At 55.4% G+C, this 23,516-nt stretch overlaps 1 protein-coding gene across 5 annotated transcripts in view, besides 3 other annotated features; it reads right to left on the bottom strand.

Annotated features, from left to right (window-relative positions):
* Positions 1-23,516, bottom strand: part of MAD1L1 (mitotic arrest deficient 1 like 1) — a 417,151-nt gene that overhangs the window by 314,297 nt on the left and 79,338 nt on the right. For all 5 annotated transcript variants that reach the window (NM_001304524.2, NM_001304523.2, NM_001013837.2 and 2 more), the window contains one exon: positions 19,061-19,147. In NM_001304524.2, coding sequence (NP_001291453.1) covers positions 19,061-19,147 — 87 coding nt within the window. The remainder of the gene's footprint in view (positions 1-19,060; positions 19,148-23,516) is intronic.
* Positions 8,430-8,569: an enhancer, noted in NCBI's record as "active region_25508". NCBI's record gives its function as "activates an Ori minimal core promoter by ATAC-STARR-seq in GM12878 lymphoblastoid cells {active_cell/tissue: GM12878}" and the evidence as "EXISTENCE:reporter gene assay evidence [ECO:0000049][PMID:35858748]".
* Positions 9,871-10,476: an enhancer, noted in NCBI's record as "H3K4me1 hESC enhancer chr7:2179597-2180202 (GRCh37/hg19 assembly coordinates)". NCBI's record gives its function as "activates a minimal SCP1, AML or CMV promoter by ChIP-STARR-seq in primed H9 embryonic stem cells {active_cell/tissue: H9 hESC(primed)}" and the evidence as "EXISTENCE:reporter gene assay evidence [ECO:0000049][PMID:30033119]".
* Positions 17,282-17,468: a silencer, noted in NCBI's record as "fragment chr7:2187008-2187194 (GRCh37/hg19 assembly coordinates)". NCBI's record gives its function as "represses an EF-1alpha promoter that drives an FKBP-Casp9 reporter gene in an ReSE screen in K562 erythroleukemia cells {active_cell/tissue: K562}" and the evidence as "EXISTENCE:reporter gene assay evidence [ECO:0000049][PMID:32094911]".

A 23,516-nucleotide genomic window follows, 5' to 3' on the forward strand; every position in this document is an offset into this window, starting at 1 on the left:
TCACTGCATCAAAAGCACCTCCACATGTCAGGAGGCAAATGCCCTCCTCTTGGATTTCCCTGCCCTGCCTTCGGCCCGCAGCAGGTGCCTGGCTGGGCGCAGCCATGGAGCTCACCTGAGAGGTCCAGGGAGCTGTGCCAGCAGCATTCAGGTGCCTCCCCGCTGAAATATTTCAGTCACCACGTCCTGGGGCTAGAGAAAAGCTAGCCTGGACACACAGCACCTCGAGGCCAAGTCCCCAAGCCCAGAGCTCTCTCCACGCCATTACAGCCCCCAACTCCCAGGAGTTCCCCAGGGGCACACCAGATGAACAGACCGAGAAATTTGGAATAAGGAAGCAATTGAGAGGCCAGAGCTTAACTCTCTACGTCGTCTGCGGCAGGTCTGGGAAAGGAGACCAGCTTCCCACATAGTCTTGGGCCTCTCTCTCTCTCTGGGACCCCAATGATTCCAAACATAAACTCAATTCCAAAGGTGTGTCCTATCACTCCTACTTGTAAAAGAAAATAAAATGTCAGGACCCTCTCAGTTTATTATGCCAGGGGGAAAAAGTTAAGCCCCGGAGGCCGAAGCTGGGAGCGTGTCCGCGACTCTCTCTTCCTCTTAGCTCTTGTTCCGTAAATAACTAGGAGAGACCAAACACCACACCTCTCCCACTTCCAGTCACCGATCTTTGTGATGGATTCACTGCCTCTTTCACTGTCCTGCACCTACAGACCAGATGGCACAAGATGCCTGCTACATCTTCAGTGCGAATGCCAAATCAACCTTCCCGGAAAGATAAAGGCCACCGCATCGAATCCGATCTTTCTAATGATGCATTAAGCCTCTCGCAGAAGGATGCTGAGATCTGCTAAGCTTCCCTAAACTTGTCTACATGAATGATCCGGAACTTCCACGCTTCGGAACACTGACTTCCATTCTTTGGAATCTGTGCTTCCCTGGTGGCCGTCCTGGAAGAACCTTGCACTTGAATAAGCTCTCTTTAAACTAGATTCGGACGCTTTGGAGTATTTTGGGTTGACATACTGCACTATGAGCTCCTTCAAGAGATGGATGAGCAGCGTGTCAGCCTTCTTCGGGCCCCAGAGCGGACCCTGCACACGATAAACACTCATCCCAGGCACTTCAGGAATCTGCAAAGGCAGTCTTGGCCCAAATGCTTAAAAACAGAAGGGACGCATGTACTATGGTCTGGAGAGGCACAATCCCCCTCACTTCTCCACCTTGTGATGAGAGGCTACATTAAAAATGGCTTACGCACCATAAAATCAGTTCTATTCATGGTGAGGAAATACGGAAAGGCAGTAAAATTGGCAGAGCATGGAGATGAGAGGACACTAAACTCCCTGGCTCTCTAAGGAAACAGGGAGCAGCTGAGACTGTGACAGGAAAAGGAATTTAACCAATTTAAAATTCAAAGCGCTGCTTCTGTTCCCCGACGAGCTTGTCAGTCCCAGGGGACCTCTGCGCAGGCACTGATGGTGTCCTTGCTCAAGGCCTCCCAGCTCATCCTCACAAATGTGCTGGAACATTCGTGCCTGCACCAGCTGGGCCCCCAGGTTCTCATCCAGAGAGCAGCAACAGGGACAGCTCAGGTGTGTCCCCCAGGCCCACACGCCTCCCCAGGGGTGCTCTGTGCCCTTCAGCCCCCATCAGCCCTTGTCCTCACCCTGGCCCGAGCTGGCTCAGGCTGGGAAGGTCAGCAGGATGTGACAGCCATCGCACCTGGGGTCTCTCTGGTCATGACAAGGGACCTGCTTCCTTCTTTCGGCAACTGGCAGTCACACAAGTCCTGTGAGCCCCCCACAAGGGCCTGACCATGCACACGTGAAATGATGGAGGGCTGCTCAGGTGCCTCTAATGGAAAGGCTGGTGAAAGATGTGCCTCGTAGACCCGCCGCGGCGCTGCCTCCTGACGCTCAGCGTGGTCCCTCTCTTCTCCAAGCAGTCAGTGAGGCTGACTCAGGAGGAAGCTGGCCCCAACTGCATTTTGTCTCAATCTGACCCCTGGGACAGCTCTCTCTAGCCTCATCTTACTTGCTAATTTTTGTTTTAAATTTACAGATATTCTTTTTTCAAGCAATTATAGGTTTACAGGAAAACTGAGGAGAAATGAGAGTTCTCATCTACCCTTCAGCCCCCAGGCAGATTCCCCTGCACCGTGCACGACTGCAGTCCATTCATTACAACTGATGAACCCAAGTCCACAGTGGACACGTGGGCTCACTTGTCATGTCTTACATTCTCGGGTTTAGACGAACGCATGTCTGCAGTCCCTGTGCGACCGCGCGTCCACCATCACGGCCGCGTGCAGTCGGTTCACTGCTGCGTGCGACCGCGCGTCCACCATCACGGCCGCGTGCAGTCGGTCCACTGCTGCGTGCGACTGCGTGTCCACCATCACGGCCGCGTGAAGAGTAGGTTCATTCCCCAAAAATCCTCTGGGTCCGCCTGCGCATCCCTCTTGTCCATCCCTGGCAACCACCGATCTTTTTACTGTGTCCACAGTTCTGCCTTTTCCAGAATACCACGGAGGAGAAATCCCACAGTACACCGCCTTTGCAGACTGTCCTCTTTCACTGTGCAATATATATTTAAGATTCTTCCACGTCTTTTCACAGCTTGGTAGCTCATTTCTTTTTAGCTCAGAACAGTATTTGAGTGAATGGACATACCATCTTTTATCCATTCACCCATGGAAGGACACTGTTACTGTGTGGTTCCCGACCCCTCCAAATCTCAGGTTGACAACTGATCCCCACGATTGGAAGCAGGACCTGAGAGGAGGGGTTTGGGCCATGGGGGTGGGTCCCTCATGACGGCTCATGCTGAAGAGCAGTCCTCACTTCATCAGTTACCAGGAGAGATGATTGTTACAGGGAGCCTGGCGTCTCCCTGCTCTCCCCCTTCCTGCGTCTGCTTTGGTGAGGCGCCTGTTCAGAGCTCACCCATTTTCAATGCTGAGCATCTCCTCACGTGCTTCTCCGTCACCCACGTGTCTGCTTTGGTGAGGCACCTGTTCAGAGCTCACCCATTTTCAATGCTGAGCATCTCCTCATGTGCTTCTCCTTCACCCACGTGTCTGCTTTGGTGAGGCACCTGTTCAGAGCTCACCCATTTTCAATGCTGAGCATCTCCTCATGTGCTTCTCCGTCACCCACGTGTCTGCTTTGGTGAGGCACCTGTTCAGAGCTCACCCATTTTCAATGCTGAGCATCTCCGCACGTGCTTCTCCGTCACCCGCGTGTCTGCTTTGGTGAGGCGCCTGTTCAGAGCTCACCCATTTTTTAATTGGGTGGTCTGTTTCCTTACCACTGAGTTTGAAGAGTTCTTTGTATAATTTGGATAACAGCCCTTATCAGATATGTCTTTTGCATGACGGTGAAAAATATTTTCTCCATTTGGGGCTTCTCCTTTTATTCTCAACAGTTTCCTTCGCAGAGCAGCCATTTCCAACTCTAACGAGGTCCATCTCATCAATTCTTTCAGACTGTGCCTTTGGTGTTGTACGTTAAAAGTCACTGCCTAATTGAGAGTCAGCTAGATATTTCCGCCGCTATCTTCTAGGAGTTTTAAAGTTTTGTGCTTTACACTCAGGTATGTGATCCACTCTGAGTTGATTTTTGAGGAAGGTGTAAGGTCTGTGTCTAGATTTTTCCCCTGTGGCTGTTCCGCTGTTCCAGCACCATTTGCTGAGAAGACCGTTTTCCTCTGAGCTGCCTTTGCTCTGCGGTCCACGATCAGCCGAGTATATCTGTGTGGGTCTATCTCGTGGCTCTCTGACCTGTTCCACAGACCTGTTCGTCCATTCTTCCATCAACAGCGCACCACCTTGATCACTGTGGTTTTACGCTAAGTCTTGAGGTCGGGGAGTGTCAGTTTTCCGGTGTTGTTCACTGGTGTTGTGCTGGCCATTGCCATCTTTTGCCTTCCCATATAAACTTTAGAATCTGTTGATATCCACAAATATAACTTGCTGGGATTCTGACTGGGACTGCACAGACCCTCTGGGGAGAACTGATAATATATTGACTCCTCCTACCCGTGAACATAGAATGCCGCTGCATTGATTTACGGCTTTGATTTCTTTCATCAGGTCTGGTGATTTCCTCACACATAACCTGTACCGGTCTCTGTGTCTACACTGTTTTTTGGTGCTAATGTAAATAGTACTGGGTGTTGATTTCAAATTCCCTCTGCTTGTTGCTGGTACACAGGAAAGCAGCTGACGGCGTGTATGGCCCATACCCTGCTCTCTCTCACCACTCATTATTCTACAAGTTCTTTTGTTAGTTCTCAGAATTTTCTACATAGACGATCATGTCATCTGCAAACAAAGACAGTTTTATTTCTTCCTTCCTTTATTCCCTCTTCTTGTCTTACTGCACTATAGCTAGTACTTCCAGTACGACAGCGAATAGGAGTGGTGAGTGGGACTCCTTGCCTCGTGCCTGATCTTAGCGAGAAAGCTTCTAGTTTCTTACTTGGTTTTAAGACGGAAATAGTTGACAAGTAATAAGAAATTAGCTTCTCTATGACAACAAAAAGAAAAATCTGCCCATTTAAACAGGACCAGTCACCAGAGCCCAATTGTGTCCAGCAGCTGCACACGTCTCTGGAGAGGCCACCCTCTCTTAAGGACTAGTCTTGGATTTGTGGGGTTCTCAGAGAGCAACTTGTGGCTGCCCAAGTTCCTGGCTCCACCAGAAATCAGGTGGGCATGATCTCCAGGCCCCAGGGACACCCCTGCTGCTCATCTAGGGCAAGAACACCTGAAAGAAGTCAGCTCTGCTGCTTATGGGTTGAGCCATCTTCCTTCAACTGCCCGGAATGCTGCAAAGTGGGCCTTTTCTAGGATACATGAGTCACCGTTTCCAGAAAAACCAGAACTGAGGACACCTTCCCAGACATTCAATGACTGACGTTCATTAATGATGTTCATGTTCAACACACAAAAAACACCCCCTACAATCTAATCAGAATTTTGAGCAAACACTACCCAGAAAGGTAAGACTAGCCACGAAAGGTGTGAAGGAACGGTGAGCGCACCTGCCTTCAGCCCTCACCCACCCAGCAGGCAAGGCTGAGCAGAACCTGTGTGTGGGGCCCTCAGGCCACTAGGCCCTCCTTCTTCCAACTGCACACCTGTGCGGGGCCAGACTTATTCCACAGACTCCAAAAGAAGAGACCGTGGCAGATGGACGCAGACACGAGATGCTCCCATCTTCTATTTCACCAGACACTGAAGAGATTTGTAAAAAGTAAAAAACAATGCCATTCCTCTCACTGTCTCGTTTTGTGTTAGAAAATGCATTTTTCATAAATATATTTTGTTAAGTGATAATGAATTGTTTTTAATGAGATTATAAATATAATTGTAAATAATGATTTAATTTTAATTTTAATTTCCAAAGATGGTAAATACTGATAGTTATGATTCCCCACAAATAAAAACTCTTTGTTTTCGGTAATTGTTTATCATTAAAGGGGCCTGGACTGACAAGTGAGGGCAATGCTGGTGCAGAGGAAGGCTCAGGTGGTGGGCAATGTCCGGGCCTCCTGCCCCCCAGCTCTCACAGCGACCCTCGGGACAATGCCCACCAGCTCTCGCCACCTCTCACGGCCACATATGGGAGTCCTGCCTGCCACCTCTCATGGTGACGTGTGTGCACATGTCCCAGGCCCAAGGGAAAGTACACTCATGAAGGGAGCAACGGCCTCAGCAGAGACCTGAATCTGAGCCTTTGGAGGTGAGTCCAAGGATCTCTATTTTCAGGCTCTTTTCGCCATATAACTCACAAGCAGCCAGGCATTTGGGAAGCGTGGCCATGATCAGGACCACGCGGCCCAACGCTCTCTAGTCCCCTAAGGGATTCACTGCTGGTTTCTCTTCCCAGGCAGAGGGAAAGCTCCTTCAGGGCAGGGGTCACAGCCTTCCTTCTCCTAGAGCCCCTATGTCCACTCCAAGCTCAATGAGACAGAAACAGGAAGCCGCACTTGCCCCACGCTGACCAAAAATGCCTGTCACAGCCACGTCCACACTGTTCCTCCTGCAGACTCTGCGCAACTGTGTTTCTCGGCCACAGTATTAAAAAAGGGTCAGCATTAAGAGGCTTCATGCCCTGCGGAAGCGACCTGTGATATCTGAGCTTGAAAAAGCATCGCCCTGATGAGAGGCAACGTGGTGAGAGGGCACAGGCTTAGGAGACAGCCAGCCCTGAGCTCACAAGCAGACTCCAGGCTGAGTGGCTCCACAACCTTGGGGAAACTGGGGCAAAGCGAGAGGCTCCCCGCCAGCAGGCAGGATCAGTGCCAGGGCAGGGGGACACGTGTGGAGTGCCTGGTACCCACAGGTGCCTAGCAGTGGATGTTTCTTTGTTCCGACTCTCTTACCCAAGTTTCCTAACAGGATCGAGAGACCCTCCCAGGTCTATGGCACCAACTCGAGCTCAGGATGCTGGCAACACCAACACCCTCCCTCAGACCAAGTGCACTCACCTGCCCAAAGCCTGCCCCTTCCAGGGGCTCCTGTTCTCCACAGGCAGACTCTGAGCCAGCTGCATTCCTCGGTGGGGGCCCTTCCCATCTCTTGGCATCTCCTCGGGGCTCAGCAGTGGAGGCCATGGTGGGAGGGCCTGAGACTGATTTTATGTTCTGCCAAACAAGGAAGGAAAGCGTACTCCAATCGCCTGATGGCACCGGAGCTGCTCTCCACACCTGCACACCAAGAATCCCAGCTCGGCATGGAAAGGAGCCGGCAGTGGCCAGCTTCAAGGCTAAGAAGGAAGCTCTTGGCTCAGAGCTTACAAAGTTTACAACAAGTTACAGGGAAACTCAAGAAAAGCGTTCATAAGAGGATGCTCCCAAGTCCACTGATGATGCCCTGGGCTTGGCAGTGCCGGGCATGAGAGAGGAGGCCTCGAGGACCCCACCTCAGTCTCCCCAGATAGCAGCTCCTGGCAGCCCTGACCCTGCTCTAGGCTCCGCTGTGGGGTGTGGGCTGCTCTCCTGGGGTTAGGCTCACACAAACCCCTTCAAAATAAGCAAGGAAACAGAAGTTCAGGGCACCAAAATACTTAGGGACCAACCCCAGCAAGGGCCCTTCTCCCATCTCCCTATTCTCTTCCTGAAGCAACAATAAACAACATTCAAGTAGTATTCATTTCTGTGTTTTCTCCAAATGTTTGAGGAAATCTACATTCTACTACCACCTTTTGGGGGCCAAGAAAGATGTTCGCTTGCAAAGGACAGAACTGACCCAAGCACCCTCTTCTCAAACGTATATGGCACTCCAGATGCCGTTTTCTGATTTGGGGAGCTGAGGTCAGACACCTTCCGCTCTCTAACAGAAACGTCACAGAGCGGCAGGCATGTTACCGGTCTGCTTGGCCCATGCAAGTGAGGGGCCCACACTGCCTCCTCCTTCCCTTCTGCACCTTGCACACACCACCTCTGGCCCAGGTGAGTGAGGGGCCCAGGCTGTCTCCTCCTTCCCTTCTGTGACTTGCACGTGCCACCTCTAGCCCCAGGTGCAGACAGGCTTGTGCCATGGCACTGCCTGAAAACCTCAGCCAGGAAACAGAGCGCTTTCCCCATGGTCCCGGGTCACCTCAAAGATGCCACCTCAGGCTCCCACACAGGCCAGATCCACAACCGGAACAGAAACTTCTCCAGGAAAGGTCTCCTGACCAGCAGTTTCTGAACTGTGCTCCTCTGGCCCTGGAGGCTCCAAAGAGGGGAAGCCAAGCAGGAGGTGGACGTATGGGGCAACTACACGAGGACACGATACCGGCCATGATGGCAGCTGCTGCTCACAGAGCGTTTCTGTGCCGACGGTGCCATGTCGGATAACTATGCGAGGGCCACACGACACCAGCCACACGACACAGGCCATGATGGCAGCTGAAGTTCACAGGGCGTTTCTGTACTGACAGCGCGGGCCAGCCCATGATCAGAGCACAGAGCTGTGAGTCCCAGGCCCTTCACCAGGGCTGCACCCACGCTGCGCTCTCACCACCACTGGGCAGCCCCTGACACTGCGGACCTGAGACTGCTGTTACAAAGGGTTTCATGGGGGTGGGAGGAAATGCCAGCTTTTTTTTAACTTGCTAAAGAGGGTGAGAGAATGCAGGGGTGCATACAGGGTCCAAAGGGAAGGAGAAAGGAAGGGGATGCATCTGCTGCCCCAGGGGACGTGCTCCCTGGCCACCGTCCTGGCTGCGGCAGCGCTCAGCAGGCTGGCGGTGGGGCGGTCAGCTCTGCAGGTGCACTTAGTCCAGAGCCACTCAGCCTAATGAAATGAGGCATCCTGAGAACCACGACGAGGTGGGCGCCAGACCAAGTGGCCTAGAGAGATGAGCACTTCAGCATGCAGAGGTTGAAAACAGATCCTACTGACAAAACGGAAGGAACCACATCAAGAGGTGGGGATTGGGGGCATGAATGCCAGACGCACACTTCCGGCTTGTTAGGAGAAGTCAGCCGGAGGGGAAGCAGCAGATGGGGCCTCCCCCGCTCTCAAGGCCACACCGCCATCGCCTGCAGCACCTCACTCTGAGAACCCCAGGCCCAGGGGCCAAGCAAGCACTGAGAGGAAGGCCAGCACTCCGCTGCCTTCCCCCAGGCAGGCTGCACATACCCTTCAAAGAAACCCATTGAGGGTGGAACTGACCCTAATACAAATGAGGAAAGAAAGGCTCGGGGGTCAAGTGAGCAGGACCCAGTGACAGAGACCACAGACCCCACTCCTGCAAACAATGCCGCCATTCCCTGAGCACCTGCTTGATGTTGGGAACTTCTGAAATCTTCAATTCTCCACTCATCTTGCAAAGCAAGAGTCCTGGACCTGATTTTCCAGATGAAAAGCAGGACAGGCAAGGAGAACACCTCTCAGCTGGAGTCAACATGCATCGGAGAGGCCCAAGGTCCCAGCAGGACAAGCGGTCTTCCTCCTCAGCAGACGCCCCGGTACCGAGGCCAGAGGCGAGGAGGAAGAGCAGGCGAGGCTGCCTCAGCCTCACCCTCCTGTGTGGCCAGCCCACCCAGACAGGGCGAGGACTGTGAGGAGGGCCCAACCCCCAGGAAGCACCCCACACCATGTCCACAGCCTAAGCCCTGGCTGCCACGGGGATCACACGGCCCGACCCCCTGAGCCAGCAATGTACTCTCAGCCAACCCATGGGAGCACCCTCCCCGCACCCCCACCCCACCCTAGCTCACGGGACCACCCTCCCTCTGAGCTCACAGGCTGCAGTCCAGGGCTTGCCAAGGCGGGAGCGCTGCGGGCCCCAGGACGCACACTGAGATGCCCCCCACCCTCAGCAGTGAAGGTGACTCCCCCAGCCATGCCCCCAGGGCCACAGCCCTGAGCTCTGTGTCCTGCCTCTGGTCTCAGGAGGAACCAGACACTACCAATGACCCAGCACCCTGAGAGTATGGAAAATACAACACTCATGCTGGGAGAAGCTGCCAGGGGCTGGGGCCAAAGGCAGACTGCTGAGAACTCCACAGCCACAGAGGACACCCGCCGCTCTCCTTCAAGGCTGAGAACTCCACAGCCACAGAGGACACCCGCCACTCTCCTTCAAGGCTGATGGGGGAGGAAGCCGGGCTTCGGCAGACCCCCGTCCAGATGGCTCCAGCAGGGGCCAGTGTGAGGGGCTCTGCGTGGAGAGGCCAGCTGCAGCTCGGACCACACTTCCCCCGACCCTCAAGGCTAAGGTTTTGTGGGTGGTTTAGGCCTGAGATGATAAAAAACAATTTTATGCCTAAAAATATTAAAAAGTAACAATACAGATCAGAAAAATCCATGCTCTAGGCTTCACTCCACCAAGTAGAGTCTCTTTCCCCCCACAGGCCTCAGTTTCCCTGTTTTTATGGTCTACTATCTGGACCCCGCCCCCCCCCAGTCCCTGCCCTGCTCCACTGCAGCACAGCACGCCACAGGCCAGGTGGCCAGGCTTCCAAAGCCCTCAACTACTTCCCTGCAGGACGTGCATCCTTCTGTGACCTGTGCTTGGCTCAAGATCACCTACACAGCGTCCAAGCCCAGGTGGCCCCTGCAGACGCCTCTCCCAAGGCCTCCCACTCTTGTCAATCCTTGGTGGCTTCCTCTGGGCCTTCCCCAGGCCAGTGTCCCAGAGGCAAAGGCTCAGCCACATTCACCACTGCCCAAACGTAAAACAGTGACTCCAGCACCCCTCCAGCAGCCCCCGTCCGCCCTGCACATGTTCTTACACAGGACCCTCAAAGGACCCTGAAGGGTGAAGGGTGCCGGTGCCACCCTCCACGCCTCAGAATCGGAGAGTGCACCAGGGCCGAATGGCCCTCCGAGGCCCTAGCTGCAGCCGCAGCCGCAAAGCCGGGAGCAAGAGGCCAACCAGGGCAGGGACGCCGAGTGACCAGGGAGAAGGGAGAAAAGAAGCCAGGCATCCCTGGCTTAGCCACTTCCAAGATGAAGAGCCTCGTCTGCCTTAGACACTTCCTCCAAAACAAGAGCCATGGATGTGGGTGGGAGCCGGCCCCGCATCCCAGCACGAGGCCAGGCCCCCGCCAGGAGAAACCCCAAGGAGCAACCAGGCCTCCATGCCCAACCTCGGCTGGAAAGCAATGCTGATGGCAGTTGCCTTCCCCCAGTCCCTGCATGCCAGAAAGGGCGGCTCCATGGCCCTGGGACCCACTGGCTTCTGGAACAATCTCCTATGGCAACTGCCACAGAGCTAAACACTCAGAAAGTGATTGCATTTGGGATGAAATTTTTTTCTAGTGCTTGAATAAAAGGGGGAGTTTCACATTTCATCCACTTCCACATCCCTTAACAATAAAAACTTATTTAAAAAGCCATGAATATGTAAATGCCATTTTAAATATGGAAATGCAAAACATTCAGGGAAACAGTCTGGGTGTGAAATATTAACGGCAGCTCATCTTGCTGAAAGAAGCAACACAAGCTGGCTAAAGCAGCAGGCGGAGGCACCCCGGACAGACCCCAGAGCCCAGCGGCAGCGGACGCTGGACCCGGCCCCGTCATGAAGGAGCGTGTGCTCGCCTTGCGGGCTCTGCCTGGGGAGGGAACAGGTTCAGACACCCACCTAGAGCAGGGCCAGCCTTGCCAAAGCCTGCCTGCATCCTACAGGGCCACGCAGTGCCCCACTGCGGAGGCCCCTCCAAGCAGGCAGACACCGCGTGCTGCGGGGCACAGCCATGACACCCGACCATGCCTGCTGATGACCCAGGCTTTCCCCTGGAGCCAGGATGGGCTGGACCCCCTCTCAGGAGAGATGGGGCTCGATCTCAGGCCCAGCAGCCAGCTGCAGCCTGAAACATGATGGTGCCTCAGACAGGCCCCCAGACCATACTGGGGGGCCACAGAGAACCCGGCATTGGCAGGATGGGCACCGGGTCTATGTCCCCCAACCCGGGACTTCACTAGCCCTGATCAGGAAAGGACTGGAGGAACAAGAAGGCACCGCATGAGGGAGGGAGGCCCCAAGACAGACGCCCGCTCACCCAGACATCTCCATGCCATGCCCCCCTTCTCTCTCTCCCTCTAATTGGCCACAAAATGTACAGGCCTGGTACCCACCCACCCCCGCTGAGGAGGCCCCACGAGGAGGTTCTAAGCTGAGCACAGAGGAGCGGGCGGCTGCACATGCCACAGGCACCATCTCACGTCCAAGTCTGGGCACTGCAGGCAGGTGCCGCACAGACAGCCTGGGGAAGGCCCAGCTCCTCCACATGGCCTGGCTCCCGGGACAGGTGCCGCCAAGTCCTCTTTTCCTACTAAAGTCCCAGTGGAGAAGAGAGGGGGACTGAGAACCAAAAGGACAGGCAGAGGCCACCAGCCAGGCCAGGGTCGCCGGGGCAGCCATCACCGGCCAGCAGGTGGACCGCACAGCCGTGAGCACAGAATGGGCCTGCTCCCCTGTCACCTTGAGCAGCGCACTCTGGGGCACCTGACTCACTGAGGGGTCCATGTTCAAGTGCATGGTGCCAGACCCCAGGCACAGGGATGTCCCTCACATTTCCCCAAAAACCCGCTCACTGGGGCTATCCTACAGACAGACAACTGACTCACGAGAGAGACGGCTTTTCAAAGGGCCCACACTAGCCAAACTAACCCGAGCAGCCTTCGCCAAAGAACAAGGCAGGCACGTGCCAGCATCCGCACTGGAACCACCACAGGAAAGCAGATGCCATCAAGGGCCCCGTTCTAGAGACAGACAAGGAGCCTCAAAAGGCTGTCCCCTGGTGCAGGGCTGGGTTGGGGGCTGAGGCCTCTATGGCGCAGGTGCACTGTGCGTCCCAGGCATGGTCCGGGGCTGCGGGAGAAACTCTTGGGACCAGCCCCACATGGGACGCACAAGGGGCAGAGGGGGACAGGAGCAGGATACAGACAGATCACGCGGGTTCTCTGCTGCCGGACGGAGCGCCCCTAGCTGCCACTGAGCCCACGGTGAAGGGCACGGTGCCACCCAGAGCTCCTGGCGCGTGCCCTGCCACAGCCCTGGACCAGACAGGCATGGCAGGCTGCCACCGTGGAATACATGGAGACAGCCCATTAGACTCAGGCTGATTCCACACCTTCTGCCAAAGACCATTTACATCGAGTGGCGCCAAAGCCGAACGGACGCAACAAGGCCTCTGGCCATGTCAAACCCCAGGGGCCCCCTTATGCCGAGAGCAGGTGGTCAGGTTGAGCATGAGACTTGCTGGGAACACATGGCTGAGGCCATGGTCAGTTCAAGGGCAGGCCAGAACTGGCCATCCCGATGTGCTCTCTCACCCACACTGATCCACGGCAAATTCCGTCACCTTGACCTCCCAGATGCCCCCACCGCCTAACCCGTCTGATCATCACCACTGGCCACACACAGGAGACATCCTGCCCCACAGAGTCCCCTGGAAAACTTACCCCTGCCATGCCCTGAAGGCTCCCAGAAATTGTACTTTCCCATTACCTCAAAAAGTGACAGCAGGACACGGTGCCAGTGATGACAAGGACTAGCTAAAAACCTGCACCCTGAGCCAGCACCGTCCACAGGCTCCATAGAGGCGACTGCACTGAGCCTCAAAACCCCCAACAGGAGTCACCATCACCAGAAAGACTCGCTCGGAGAGCCACTCCTGGTAGAGCCAAATGCAAACACAGGCCCCAGGAACCTGGGCCAGTGGTGGCTTCTCCAGCGGGAGGCCCCTCAAGTGCAAGAGGGGAACAGCCCAGCCACCATGGATCTCGTATGCCTTGCTGGTCTCTGGATGACTCAAGTGCACCATAATTCAGATGCCAGGTGACAAGGCCTTGTTACGTCCTTGAGAGGACGGCCTAACCACCTGGGACCAACAGCAGGAAAGACTCATAACTAGTAAACTGATCTTCACTCACTCTTGGGAGGTGACAGAAACCTGAGGCAGGAAGAGGCTCAGAAAAGCACCGTCTGTGACAGAAAACATGGTGATATCCACTCATCACACCCAATGACTCTCGAGTCCCTTATGCTTGACAAGGGCCTGACTCCTCCTGACGCTGCCCAGGCCCCTGATGGCAGCAGTAGATGAAACAGGCCAGGCCCAGGCACCTGGAAGCACCACACGGCCAGGTGCTCCAGGACATGCCAGCCTTGTGGCTTCAGGCCAAGGGCTCTTCTGCCTGGAGGCAGCAAGGTGGGATCTTCAAAACAAACTGCGGCGATCACAGCCCAGGCTGGAATGCACTTCTGGGAAAGCCGATGCACAGAGGGGAGGCAGGGGAGGCCAGGGCAGACCCCAACATGAAGAGCTCCATCTGCATCCACGGCCCTCAGGGGCTCCCCTCTGTGGACTTCTCAGCCGGCTCTACCTTAAGTCAGCATCGAGGAGGATGCCTGGGGCTTCAAACAGGCAAAACAGCACCAGGCAGGATCCATGACCCAGGGTCTCTGCTGAGGCAGAGAAGCAAGGCCAAAGCCGAGACGGCAGCCACACAACGTGTCCCACAGGGACCCAGGAGCCACCTGCAAACACATCCCACAGAGCTCTGGAGACCCACAGGCCTGGACGCACGTCCTGCTTTCACCACCTCCCAGCTGTTTAGCCCGGGGCTCAAGTTCCTCCCTGCAAAAGAGGGAATCATAAGAGCTTCCAGCTGGGAGCGTCTGTGAGGCTCAAGTGAGAGGCTGCGCATGAAGCACAGCGCAGCGCATGGTGAGGGCAGATGCGAGACAAACACTGACTGCTCTCAGCGTCCCCATCGTCATTCATCGCCGGGATTACAGATGATACACCTGAACCCTGGAGCCCTCACGGGGTCCTGAGAGGCCCCGCTCCCGCCACCAGCCCTCTCCAAAGCACGGTCTTATTTCCAGCACAGCAGAGAAACCGCCAAGAGCATGGCCCCACGCATCCCTGCCCGAGCTTCCCAGCCCTGTTCTTCACGAGCCCTCAGAGCACGCTGGCCTATTCCCCCCCAGATCTGAAAGATGACAGCATGGCCACGGGCTGGGCCACAGAGGACTGCAGCCTCCTGTCCCGGCTCTTCCCACGGCAGAGCTGGGGACGCCAGGCAGAGGGGTGCTTGGGTCCCTAAGGGCCAAGGAGACTAAGAGGGCCCGGAAAGGGAAGGGAGGCTACAGGGCAGCCCCGGGGTGCCCTGTGTGAAGCGTGAGCAGAGGGCGCACCAGATCCACCCACTGATTCTGAACAGTATGCCCTGTCCTCAGCCCCACAACCAGGAGGTCCATTCTCAGATTCTAAGAGCCGAAACGAGGCTTGAGCGTAAACCAGGCCAGGCTCCCCTACACTGCCATGAAGCTCCTGCTCCAAGGTAAAGAGGCCCAGGATCTCTGACACGCTCTGCTCACACCAGTGACCAATGACGCCCCATCTGTCCACGGCTAAAGGAAGGGAGAAACACACAGGAGGCAAGGTTTGGTGGTTCTGACCCAACCCCCAGGCTGCAATGCACTCAAGCACCCCACCCTCCTGGAGCGCCTTACGGCCAGTGCCCTGTAGGCTGCCCCGCTGCCCACTGAGAGCCCTGCCTGCTCCTGGCTCCACAGCCAGCCCCGGACCCTTCGTCACAGCACCACGTCCCGGGGACTGCCGAGAGCTGCTGCACCAGGCACGTTACCAACGTCATCCCGCTGAATCCTCAAGCAGCCCCACAGACACTCTCTCTGCTGTAAGACAGGAATTCCAGTGCAGCACCTGAGCAAACCCGCATAAAGCTAACAAGCAGGCTCCTCGCAACCCTGGAAAGCAGTAAGTCCTACACTGAGAGTTCCAGAAGCTTCTTGCCTCTACCAACTCCAGCCCCAAGACCAGAATGCAGCACAGGTGCCACCGTGGGGCTTCCAGCCTCCAGTCCTAAGAGCGCAGAAACATTCAGACAGAAACTTCAGTCCAGCTCACAGCAGCGTTTGGAACTGTGCTTCACCAGTAAAAGGGGTCAAAACTATAGCTCAATGCTAGGAAAATTCCTTCTTGCTCCAGGCTGGTTGGTGGCCCAGCAGCTAACTCCGAGATATGGTGTCATTTTCTCTTCCTCAAACAAGGGAGGTGATGGCTTCCGGCTCGGCATCTGCTCACTGCGGGATGATCTGTTTCCTGCACCAGGTTGCACGGCAAGCTGACATCAGACCCTCCCTGGGCGGCCTTCCCTACCTTGGAACTCCTCTGGGTGGGAGAGCTCCAGGATCCTCCCTGAAACAGGCTGGAATGCTACTGCAGTAACTATGGAGAGAAACTGAGGCAAACTTTAAAAAGGCAGCAACGGCAGGAACTCCGCAGAGGAGCCCGACCCACAGGACCTGCTGAGGTACCTGCTGGCTTCTGGCTTCACGGACGTGGACATGTGTCATGTTGGTGAAAGGAACACCAAGTCACCAAGACAGCGACTGTGGGAAGGGCGCTCTGTTCCGCACATCAGATCAGCAGAGAAGGAAAGTTACACAACACCCAGGAAGTGCATCAAGACTGCGTGGTGTAGGCTGCTCACAGCGGCACACTACGCCGGCTGATAGGCAACATTCATCTTCTAAAAGCCAAGCTCCTGAAAACAGGCACACGAATGACCCAGCCGTCACTTCAGAAGCTCGGCCTGAGGCACAAGCATTCCGAGATGCTGCCACGTGAGCTACCCCAGCGGCACCGTCACAGCAGCACCGCCTGGAAGAGGGAGCACCGGGCACTGGGCTACGAGGAACAGGGTACCACCTCGATGAGGGAGCACCGGGCACTGGGCTACGAGGAACAGGGCACCGCCTCGAAGAGGGAGCACCGGGCACTGGGCTACGAGGAACAGGGCAACGCCTCGAAGAGGGAGCACCGGGCACTGGGCTACGAGGAACAGGGCAGTGGAGCCGCACCCTGAGAAGCTCCTCAGATGGCGAGAACAGCGTTCACTACCAGGGAAAGATGGACACGGCCAACATACTTGGTAAAAACTGCAGAGGAGAACATACGTGGTCACAAGCACGTGCCCGCTGGTCCGCACAGACGAGGGAAAATGCCCAGCAGCTGCTCTCATGACCCGTGACCTCAGCTGGACCAGGGCTCTGTTCTTCAGTGACTACAAGCTACTTTCAATGAGAAACAAACAAAAGTGACTTTAAAATGAGGCCCGCCTGGCAAAGCCCTCGGGGATCTGGGCCACCGTGGCCTCCCATCTTCTGCCATGCCGCCTCCTTCACGCTCATCTGAATTTCTGTCCAACTGCCTGTAAGAGACTTGTAGAAATGTGCTCAGCTGTTCAACCGTGCGAGGCTCCCTGACCCCGCCACGGCAGGCCGCGACGAACACGGTGTCCCGCCACGGAAGAGAGCAGCAGCCCAGAGGCCAGAACGCAAGCACCAAGGCCACGACGGGACTCATCCACACCTCATTGGCCACTGCCAGCGCTGCCTGTCCTAGGGTCTGCCTCCTTCCTGGGCCTTGGAAGTGCACAAAAGGGCCAGGCACTCAGCGTCACCAGGCCCCAGAAAGCCTTGGTCGGGAAGTGTCCACCCACCAGCAAGCAGCACTGAGACCCGGGGACGGCTCAGTGCCCAGGCGCAGTTCAGGAGGCTCAGACCTCACAGCAACCCAGTCGTTACTGCCAGTACCTTTCAGCTCACAGAGATGAAGAGAGGACCAGGTGCCTGCCCAAGTCACATGACCAGCAAGGAGCAGACCAGCCGCCCCCCAGGACCTGCAGGCAAGAGGGACCGGGAGCTCCAACCTCACGCCCAGAGGCCTCCTGCGCCTCTCCACTGCCCCATCTCAGGGAAGCGTCTCCAGCGCTCCTGGCGACGGGTGACCAGCGCCATCTGGAGCCTGCACCTTGGCTAAAGAAGCCCACACAGGGCAATAAGCCACACGTGGGACAGAAGCCAGCATACAGACACACACATGAAAGCAAGCTGGAAACGCTTGTGAGAACCCAGGATTTCAGGGCAGCTTCTCCCTTTGGCCTCCCAGACCAGCGCAGTACTGAGGACCTCGTCTCACCCCCAAGACCCCATTTCACAGAACAGGACGGAGCACCAAGCGCGTCCATGGGATGCCCCAAGACTCACCCTTCCCCAGGGCGGGTGCCCCAGCTCTCAGAGGGAGCCCACAGGTCCTGAGAGGCCAGCCACAGCTGGGGTTGTGAGGACCACCTGCCCACTGTAGAGGCTGCTCCCTGAGACAGAGACCCCATTCCCAAACCAATCCCCCCATGGGCTCAATCCACATCTCTGACCACAGCGAAGGCAACATGGGCAGCATGCAGATGCGAATGTTCCCTTCCGTGTGGCCCTGGACACAGAGATGGGCCTGCTGCTGCTGGTCAAGGCAAATAATTTTAGGAAGCACCTCCCTGTTTGGTGGGAGAAAAGTACAGGCAACTTTCCTTTCCTTTAATAGTTCATTCTGTTTCATTTCCAAAGTAAAATGATGAGGATCGCCTGGTAAAGTGTGAACGCTTTAACTTCAAATCACTTTTAATGCCTGTTTCATCTGACAGCGGCTTTGAAAGCAAAAGGCAATCTTTATCATTTGAGGTTTTTCAGTAAATTGATGTGATTATGTCCAACACAACCAGATGCTTCTAAAAGCCAATTTTCAAAGTGACATCAGCCCCCAAAATAAGAAACCTCCTTCTGGCTATTAATAAATTATTAAAACACTCTCTCCACAGGAGGACAAGGCTGAGCTTGATCATCAATGGCAAACAGGTGAGCTTCAGGCCCTCCGCACAGACCCACGGCCTGGTCAGCCGTGCAGGGCGCAGAGCTCCCCTGGGGCCCCGTTGCACGGCCCTTCCCTCTGCCGCAAGCCCACCCCACTGCCCACCAGCCCCACAGGTCCCACCGGATGGGGTTCAGTCCCTCATGGTAGCTCCACCTTCTGGTCAGGGGCAGGCATAAGACCCCTTCTTAGCCAAGGAGGCATAAGGGGCCCTTGCTGGCAGTGGGGGTCCTAGGAAACGCTTTCTTGTACAGAAAAGATCCAAAAAAGAGGCCTCTCATTTCCGCCTCTGGGTGTGATGCCGGAGCCTGGATGGCCCCTCACAGCCACGAGCGAAACCAGAGAAGAGCCGGGCTGTGGGATAAGAAGAAATACATATCTGATCGTCATCCCAGGTTCCCTGAAGCCCTTGGGACTTCCTGAGTGAGGGGCATGTCTCTTGGTATTCATAGTGAGCCCCTTCCAATCACGCCTGCATTCATGCTGACGTGAAGACTCAGGGTGGGCCCGCTAGTGACCGACGGGCTGGTTCCCAAGACCACATGAGGCCCCAACCCTGCTGGGAAGACAAGAACCCTCCTGATCCAAGGAGGGACCCCACAACAGGAGGCCAACCCCCAGACCCCATGGCAGTTTAGCACATTGTCAGAACGATGGACGGTGGTGCCTCAGCGGAGGCTCACAGCACATGGTGGAAACATGGGGCAAACCCTTCCCTCAAATCCCTGCTCCCCCATCTCCTCCCAGACCAGGGCCAACCACATGATGAAGGACAGCCATCCCCCAAGAGCCAGGGGGCACACACTCTCACTCACCCCTAACTCTCCAAAGCAAACGCATCCCCACAAGCACCCTGGGCGGCCAGGTCTACCTGCTGGTGACGGCGCTGTTCTTGTCCTTCAAGGCAAGCTCCCTCTGCTGCAGCTCAACCACGAATCTGGAAAGGTCTTCTGGAGTCCTGCAGGATAAACAAGGCACACTCAGTTCCAGCTGTCCCCGAGAAGTAAACCTGATTCTGCACACAAAACAGAAGGCCAAAAGCAACCTCTGTAGCTGATGCTCTGGGACCCAGGATGTGTGAACTCTGTGGACCCAGGTCCAGGGCAGCATGCACGCACTACAGCCTGGGGTCAACCACAGCCCCCACCCCTATGCAACACCGGGGAGATGACCTTAGAAAGCCCCGATTTTACTTCACCTGTAGAAACAGAGACACGACCTGACAGTGTCACTCTTCAGAGGAAACGAAATCATGTTTAAAAAGCACCCGCCAGGCCCCTGGCACAGGGGAGGTGCTCAGCGAGTTTTAAGTTCCTTTCCTCACCTCTCCTTCAGAAGACCCACATATAACAACAAGAGTAAAATCAGCGATCTCCAGGTGTAGCGCTTTCTACTTTCCAGGACGATTCCAGATTGTCTCAGTGAATGCCCCAGCAACCCTGTTGTTCACCGTTTCCATTTTTTAAACGAGGAAACTCAGACTCCAATGTGAAACAGCCGCTTCAAAGTTCAAAGTGCACCCCGATGATCAGCAACAGCTGAGCTCGGCCCGAGCCACATCTTCTAACTCAACGCTGGGACTCCGGAGGACACAGCAAGGATCTGAGCCATGCATGCAAAGTTACGCCAGTGGTGTGTGAGCATTCCCAGCCTCACAACCTGGGGCACAAAGCCAAGGCTCCCTGGCTAGACTGACCCAGTGGCATGTGAGCTCAGGCCCGAGGACCCATCCTTGTTCTTCTCTTCACCTGTCATGGACCAAGCGCAGGTCCACATAGAAAGCAGGCGCTGGCAATGCTGTGAGAGCCCCACCCAGCCCCACTCAGGGAGCCCGCACCGCACCACTGAATGAGCAACGGGGACCCCGACATTGGCCAAGGAGGCTACCTGCACCCCTGGAAGGAGAGGTCCCAGTCACTCTGTCAGCCAGGCCCCCAGAGCAGCCTCGGGTGGATCCCGGGCACACCCTCCCAGCAGCCTGCCCGGGAGCTCCTCTCTGCGAGTCAGCCACGGCCACGGAGAGGCACACTGCAACCACGGACCCCTAACAGAAGCCATCCTGCTGCCTAAAACGCGCACGCTGCAAACCTCACGCACTGGGCCCGACCAGACTCTGCCCTGAGACAGCCACTGACCTTTCCTGTCACTTGAGCACCCTACCCATGGGCCCCCGAAACCCTCATCAGCTCATCCAGCGCTCACACAGCCCCTCCCCCGGTCTTCCAGCACCCAGCTCCTCCTCCAAACAGAGGAAGGGCCACTTCCTTACAGTGTCTCTGGCCACCCCCACGCCCCTCGCCATCCCATGCCTGTTTTGCACGGCACAGAGGACAGCTGGAGGCCGCCTTGCCCAGCATTAGTTTGGTGTTTCTGGAGTGTCTTCCATCACTGGAACAAAGCTACCAAGAGCCTGTGAGCAGATGTCCTGCGGCCTGGCCCAGGCCCTGAGCCCTCACACACACCCAGGGCTGGTCATAAGCCCTCCCTCTGACCACAGCCAATTCACACAGAGCACGCCACGGCCTTCTCCCTTCCACGTCCCCCAGAGAGGCCTCCTCTGCCCACCCAAAGAACAGGCCCCTTGCTGAACATCTAGTGGGGACAGCGATGGGTGCAGAAGGAGTAGCTGGCACCGGGGAGACCCCATCTGTCCTCACACACACAGGCAAACCGGGGTTAGAAAGCAGCTCCGTGGAAAAACCATTTATGACTGAAAGACCTTGGAAGAGAAACTGAACTCTAGGACAGAGATGAAAGGTGCAGCTGCCCTTGAACGCCGTGACCATTCTCTCCAGTTTCCCAAAGCTTCCAACCTCAGGGAGTTAAAAATATCAGTACGAAAGTAAGGAAACCTTTCCAAGCCAAGAGATATTTTTTCTGAAACATTTGAATGAGATATTTAAGTTGTTTTGCATTAATCAAAGGGGCTTGTAAATTTTCACTAACTCAGTGCAAAGAATTTATTTACAACAAATAAATAAAAATCGCATATATCCACATCTGCAACGGCGCCTCCCAGCCCCTGTGCCCAGAACCAGCGGCAGGTGGGGTGGTCACAGGCGGCAGGCTACAGGCTCCACCTACACAGCCAAGACCACCCCGCCTCACACCCCTCAGGGACCTCACATGTCACTGGACCTGAAACAGCAGGAGGCCAGTGGAGAGGCATTTGGCAGGCAGTACCAGGCCCCAGGGTTCTCCCAGCTGGGATGGTTCTCTCTCACCAGAGGGCACACTGCCTGCCACCTCCCTCTGTGGGGAAGCCTCCCTGCAGCCTGCAGAGCAGAAGGCAGGGTCAGGAGCATTTGACACCGATTTAGAAACAAGCTTCTTGCCCCAAGGTACGAACCCACCCAGCAAAGCTGGGAGCTGGGGTAAGATCTCAGAGGGCCAGGCTCTGCTAACCATGTTCTGCGATTCCCAGTGATGCCAAGACCATGATAAATGCAACCATTTAGCAATGAGGGGGGAAATGGGAGTGGTTCAAATCAACTGAAAAGTGACAGTGACAGAGCTCTCTTCTGAAGTGCTGGGCGCCCACAGATGGCACACGCACCAGGCAGTCTCCTACGTCACCCAGGAAGGCCTCTGTCTCATGTCATGGGGTCAACGCCTCATTCTGGCACTGATGGGCCACAGGAGAAACCTGAGTACTCTGGAGCCCCGGGGCATCCATCTCCATCACCCAAGGAGCAGGCTGGCTCTCCACATTCCCACCGACTCTGCAGGAGGCTGCTTCCGGGTGGCTCCCCTGCACGCTCCTCCTTGCCTGAGGTGGGTGTGACCTGGAGTTGTCCTGCCCCAGGCAGGAACAGAGAGCATGGCTTGCCCTGAGGCAGAAGGCTGGCGCCTGAGGCGGATGGTCCCACACAGACCCCAGCCCTCGGGAGCACTGTCACGTGATGGGCTCTCAGCCTGGATACTTGCTGGCCACATCCCTAGGCCCCCAGATCCCTGCCGGCTCTCAGTCCCCATGCGACCAGGCCCCCATCATAGGGAGGACTGAAGCTGCAGGGCTTGCTATTCCAGAGCCCTCCAACCACAGGGGCAGCCGTGCCCAACACCTCCCACGGGCAGAAGCCGCTGGAGGGCACAGGGGCACCAGAAGGAATCCCTCCCTTCGCAGCCTCTTGCGCTGAAAAACCCGCAGTCACCACTTTGGCTAAACCAAGCCTCACGAGCCCTGTCTGGCCATTCTTGCTCATGACCAGGGTTCAGCTTCCACTCAAAAGCACAAGCACAGTGAGCTCGATGACAGCCTTCAAGAACGTCACACGGGACCAGTCTACTCTACTTGCAGAGACAGAGGGAAGGCCAGGACATCCTTAAAGGAAAAGGAGATGGACCCATGGGAGAAAACCTGGGTCTCAGCCCCAGCCCTGACCCCTCCAGGCTCAACTCCCTACCTGCTCGGCTGGGCTTCCTAAGGCTCACTTCCAAAACCCTACGGCACAGGTACAGTGCACTGCTATTACCTGACAATCCCTATGCCGTTAACTTTATGGATGTGGAAGGGACAGGGAGGCTGGAGGCTGTTTTCAGGGTGTGCAATCCAAGCCCATTTTCACACTGGCATTGGGAGGCCGGGAGAGGACATGCACCGTGGAGGCGGTGTCTGGATGTCGCCGGGGACATGAGGAGAAAACACTTCAAGTACAATCATCAACCAGCATGTTAAAAGTTGTGAAATTTTGTATACCCTTTGTTCGGCAGTGTCAATCAAAAGAAAATGTGTTCCCCATATACAAAAATCAACTGGAGATGGATTACAGGCTGAAACCTAAGACCCAAAAATATAAAAAATACTAAAGAAAACAAGGAAAACACTTCAGGACATTGGTCTAGGCAAAGATTTTATAGCTAAGACCTCAAAAGCACAGGCAACAAAAACAAAAATAGACAAATGGGACTACATCAAAGTAAAAAGCTTCTGCCCATCCAAGAAAACAATCAACAGAGTGAAGAGACAGCCTCTTGAATGCAGGAAAATATCTGTCAACTCTTCGGCCAATAAGGGACTAACATCCAAAATACAACTCAAAAGAAACTCAAATAACAACAATTAAAAAAACATAAATAATCCCACGAAAAAGTAGGCAAAGGACACAAAGAGACATTTCTCAAAGGATGACATGCAAATGGCCAACAGGTATATGAAAAAATGGTCAACATCACTAATCATCGGGGGAATTGCAAATCAAAACCACAATGAGATACCACCTTACCTCAGCTTAAAATGGCTAATAAACAGACCAAAAAACACACAGACAGATGCTGGTGAGGATGCAGAGGAAAGGGAACTCTCAGCTGCTGTTGGAAGGAATGTA

The sequence above is a fragment of the Homo sapiens genome, chromosome 7 (assembly GCF_000001405.40).
Source record: "Homo sapiens chromosome 7, GRCh38.p14 Primary Assembly".
Taxonomy (NCBI): domain Eukaryota; kingdom Metazoa; phylum Chordata; class Mammalia; order Primates; family Hominidae; genus Homo; species Homo sapiens.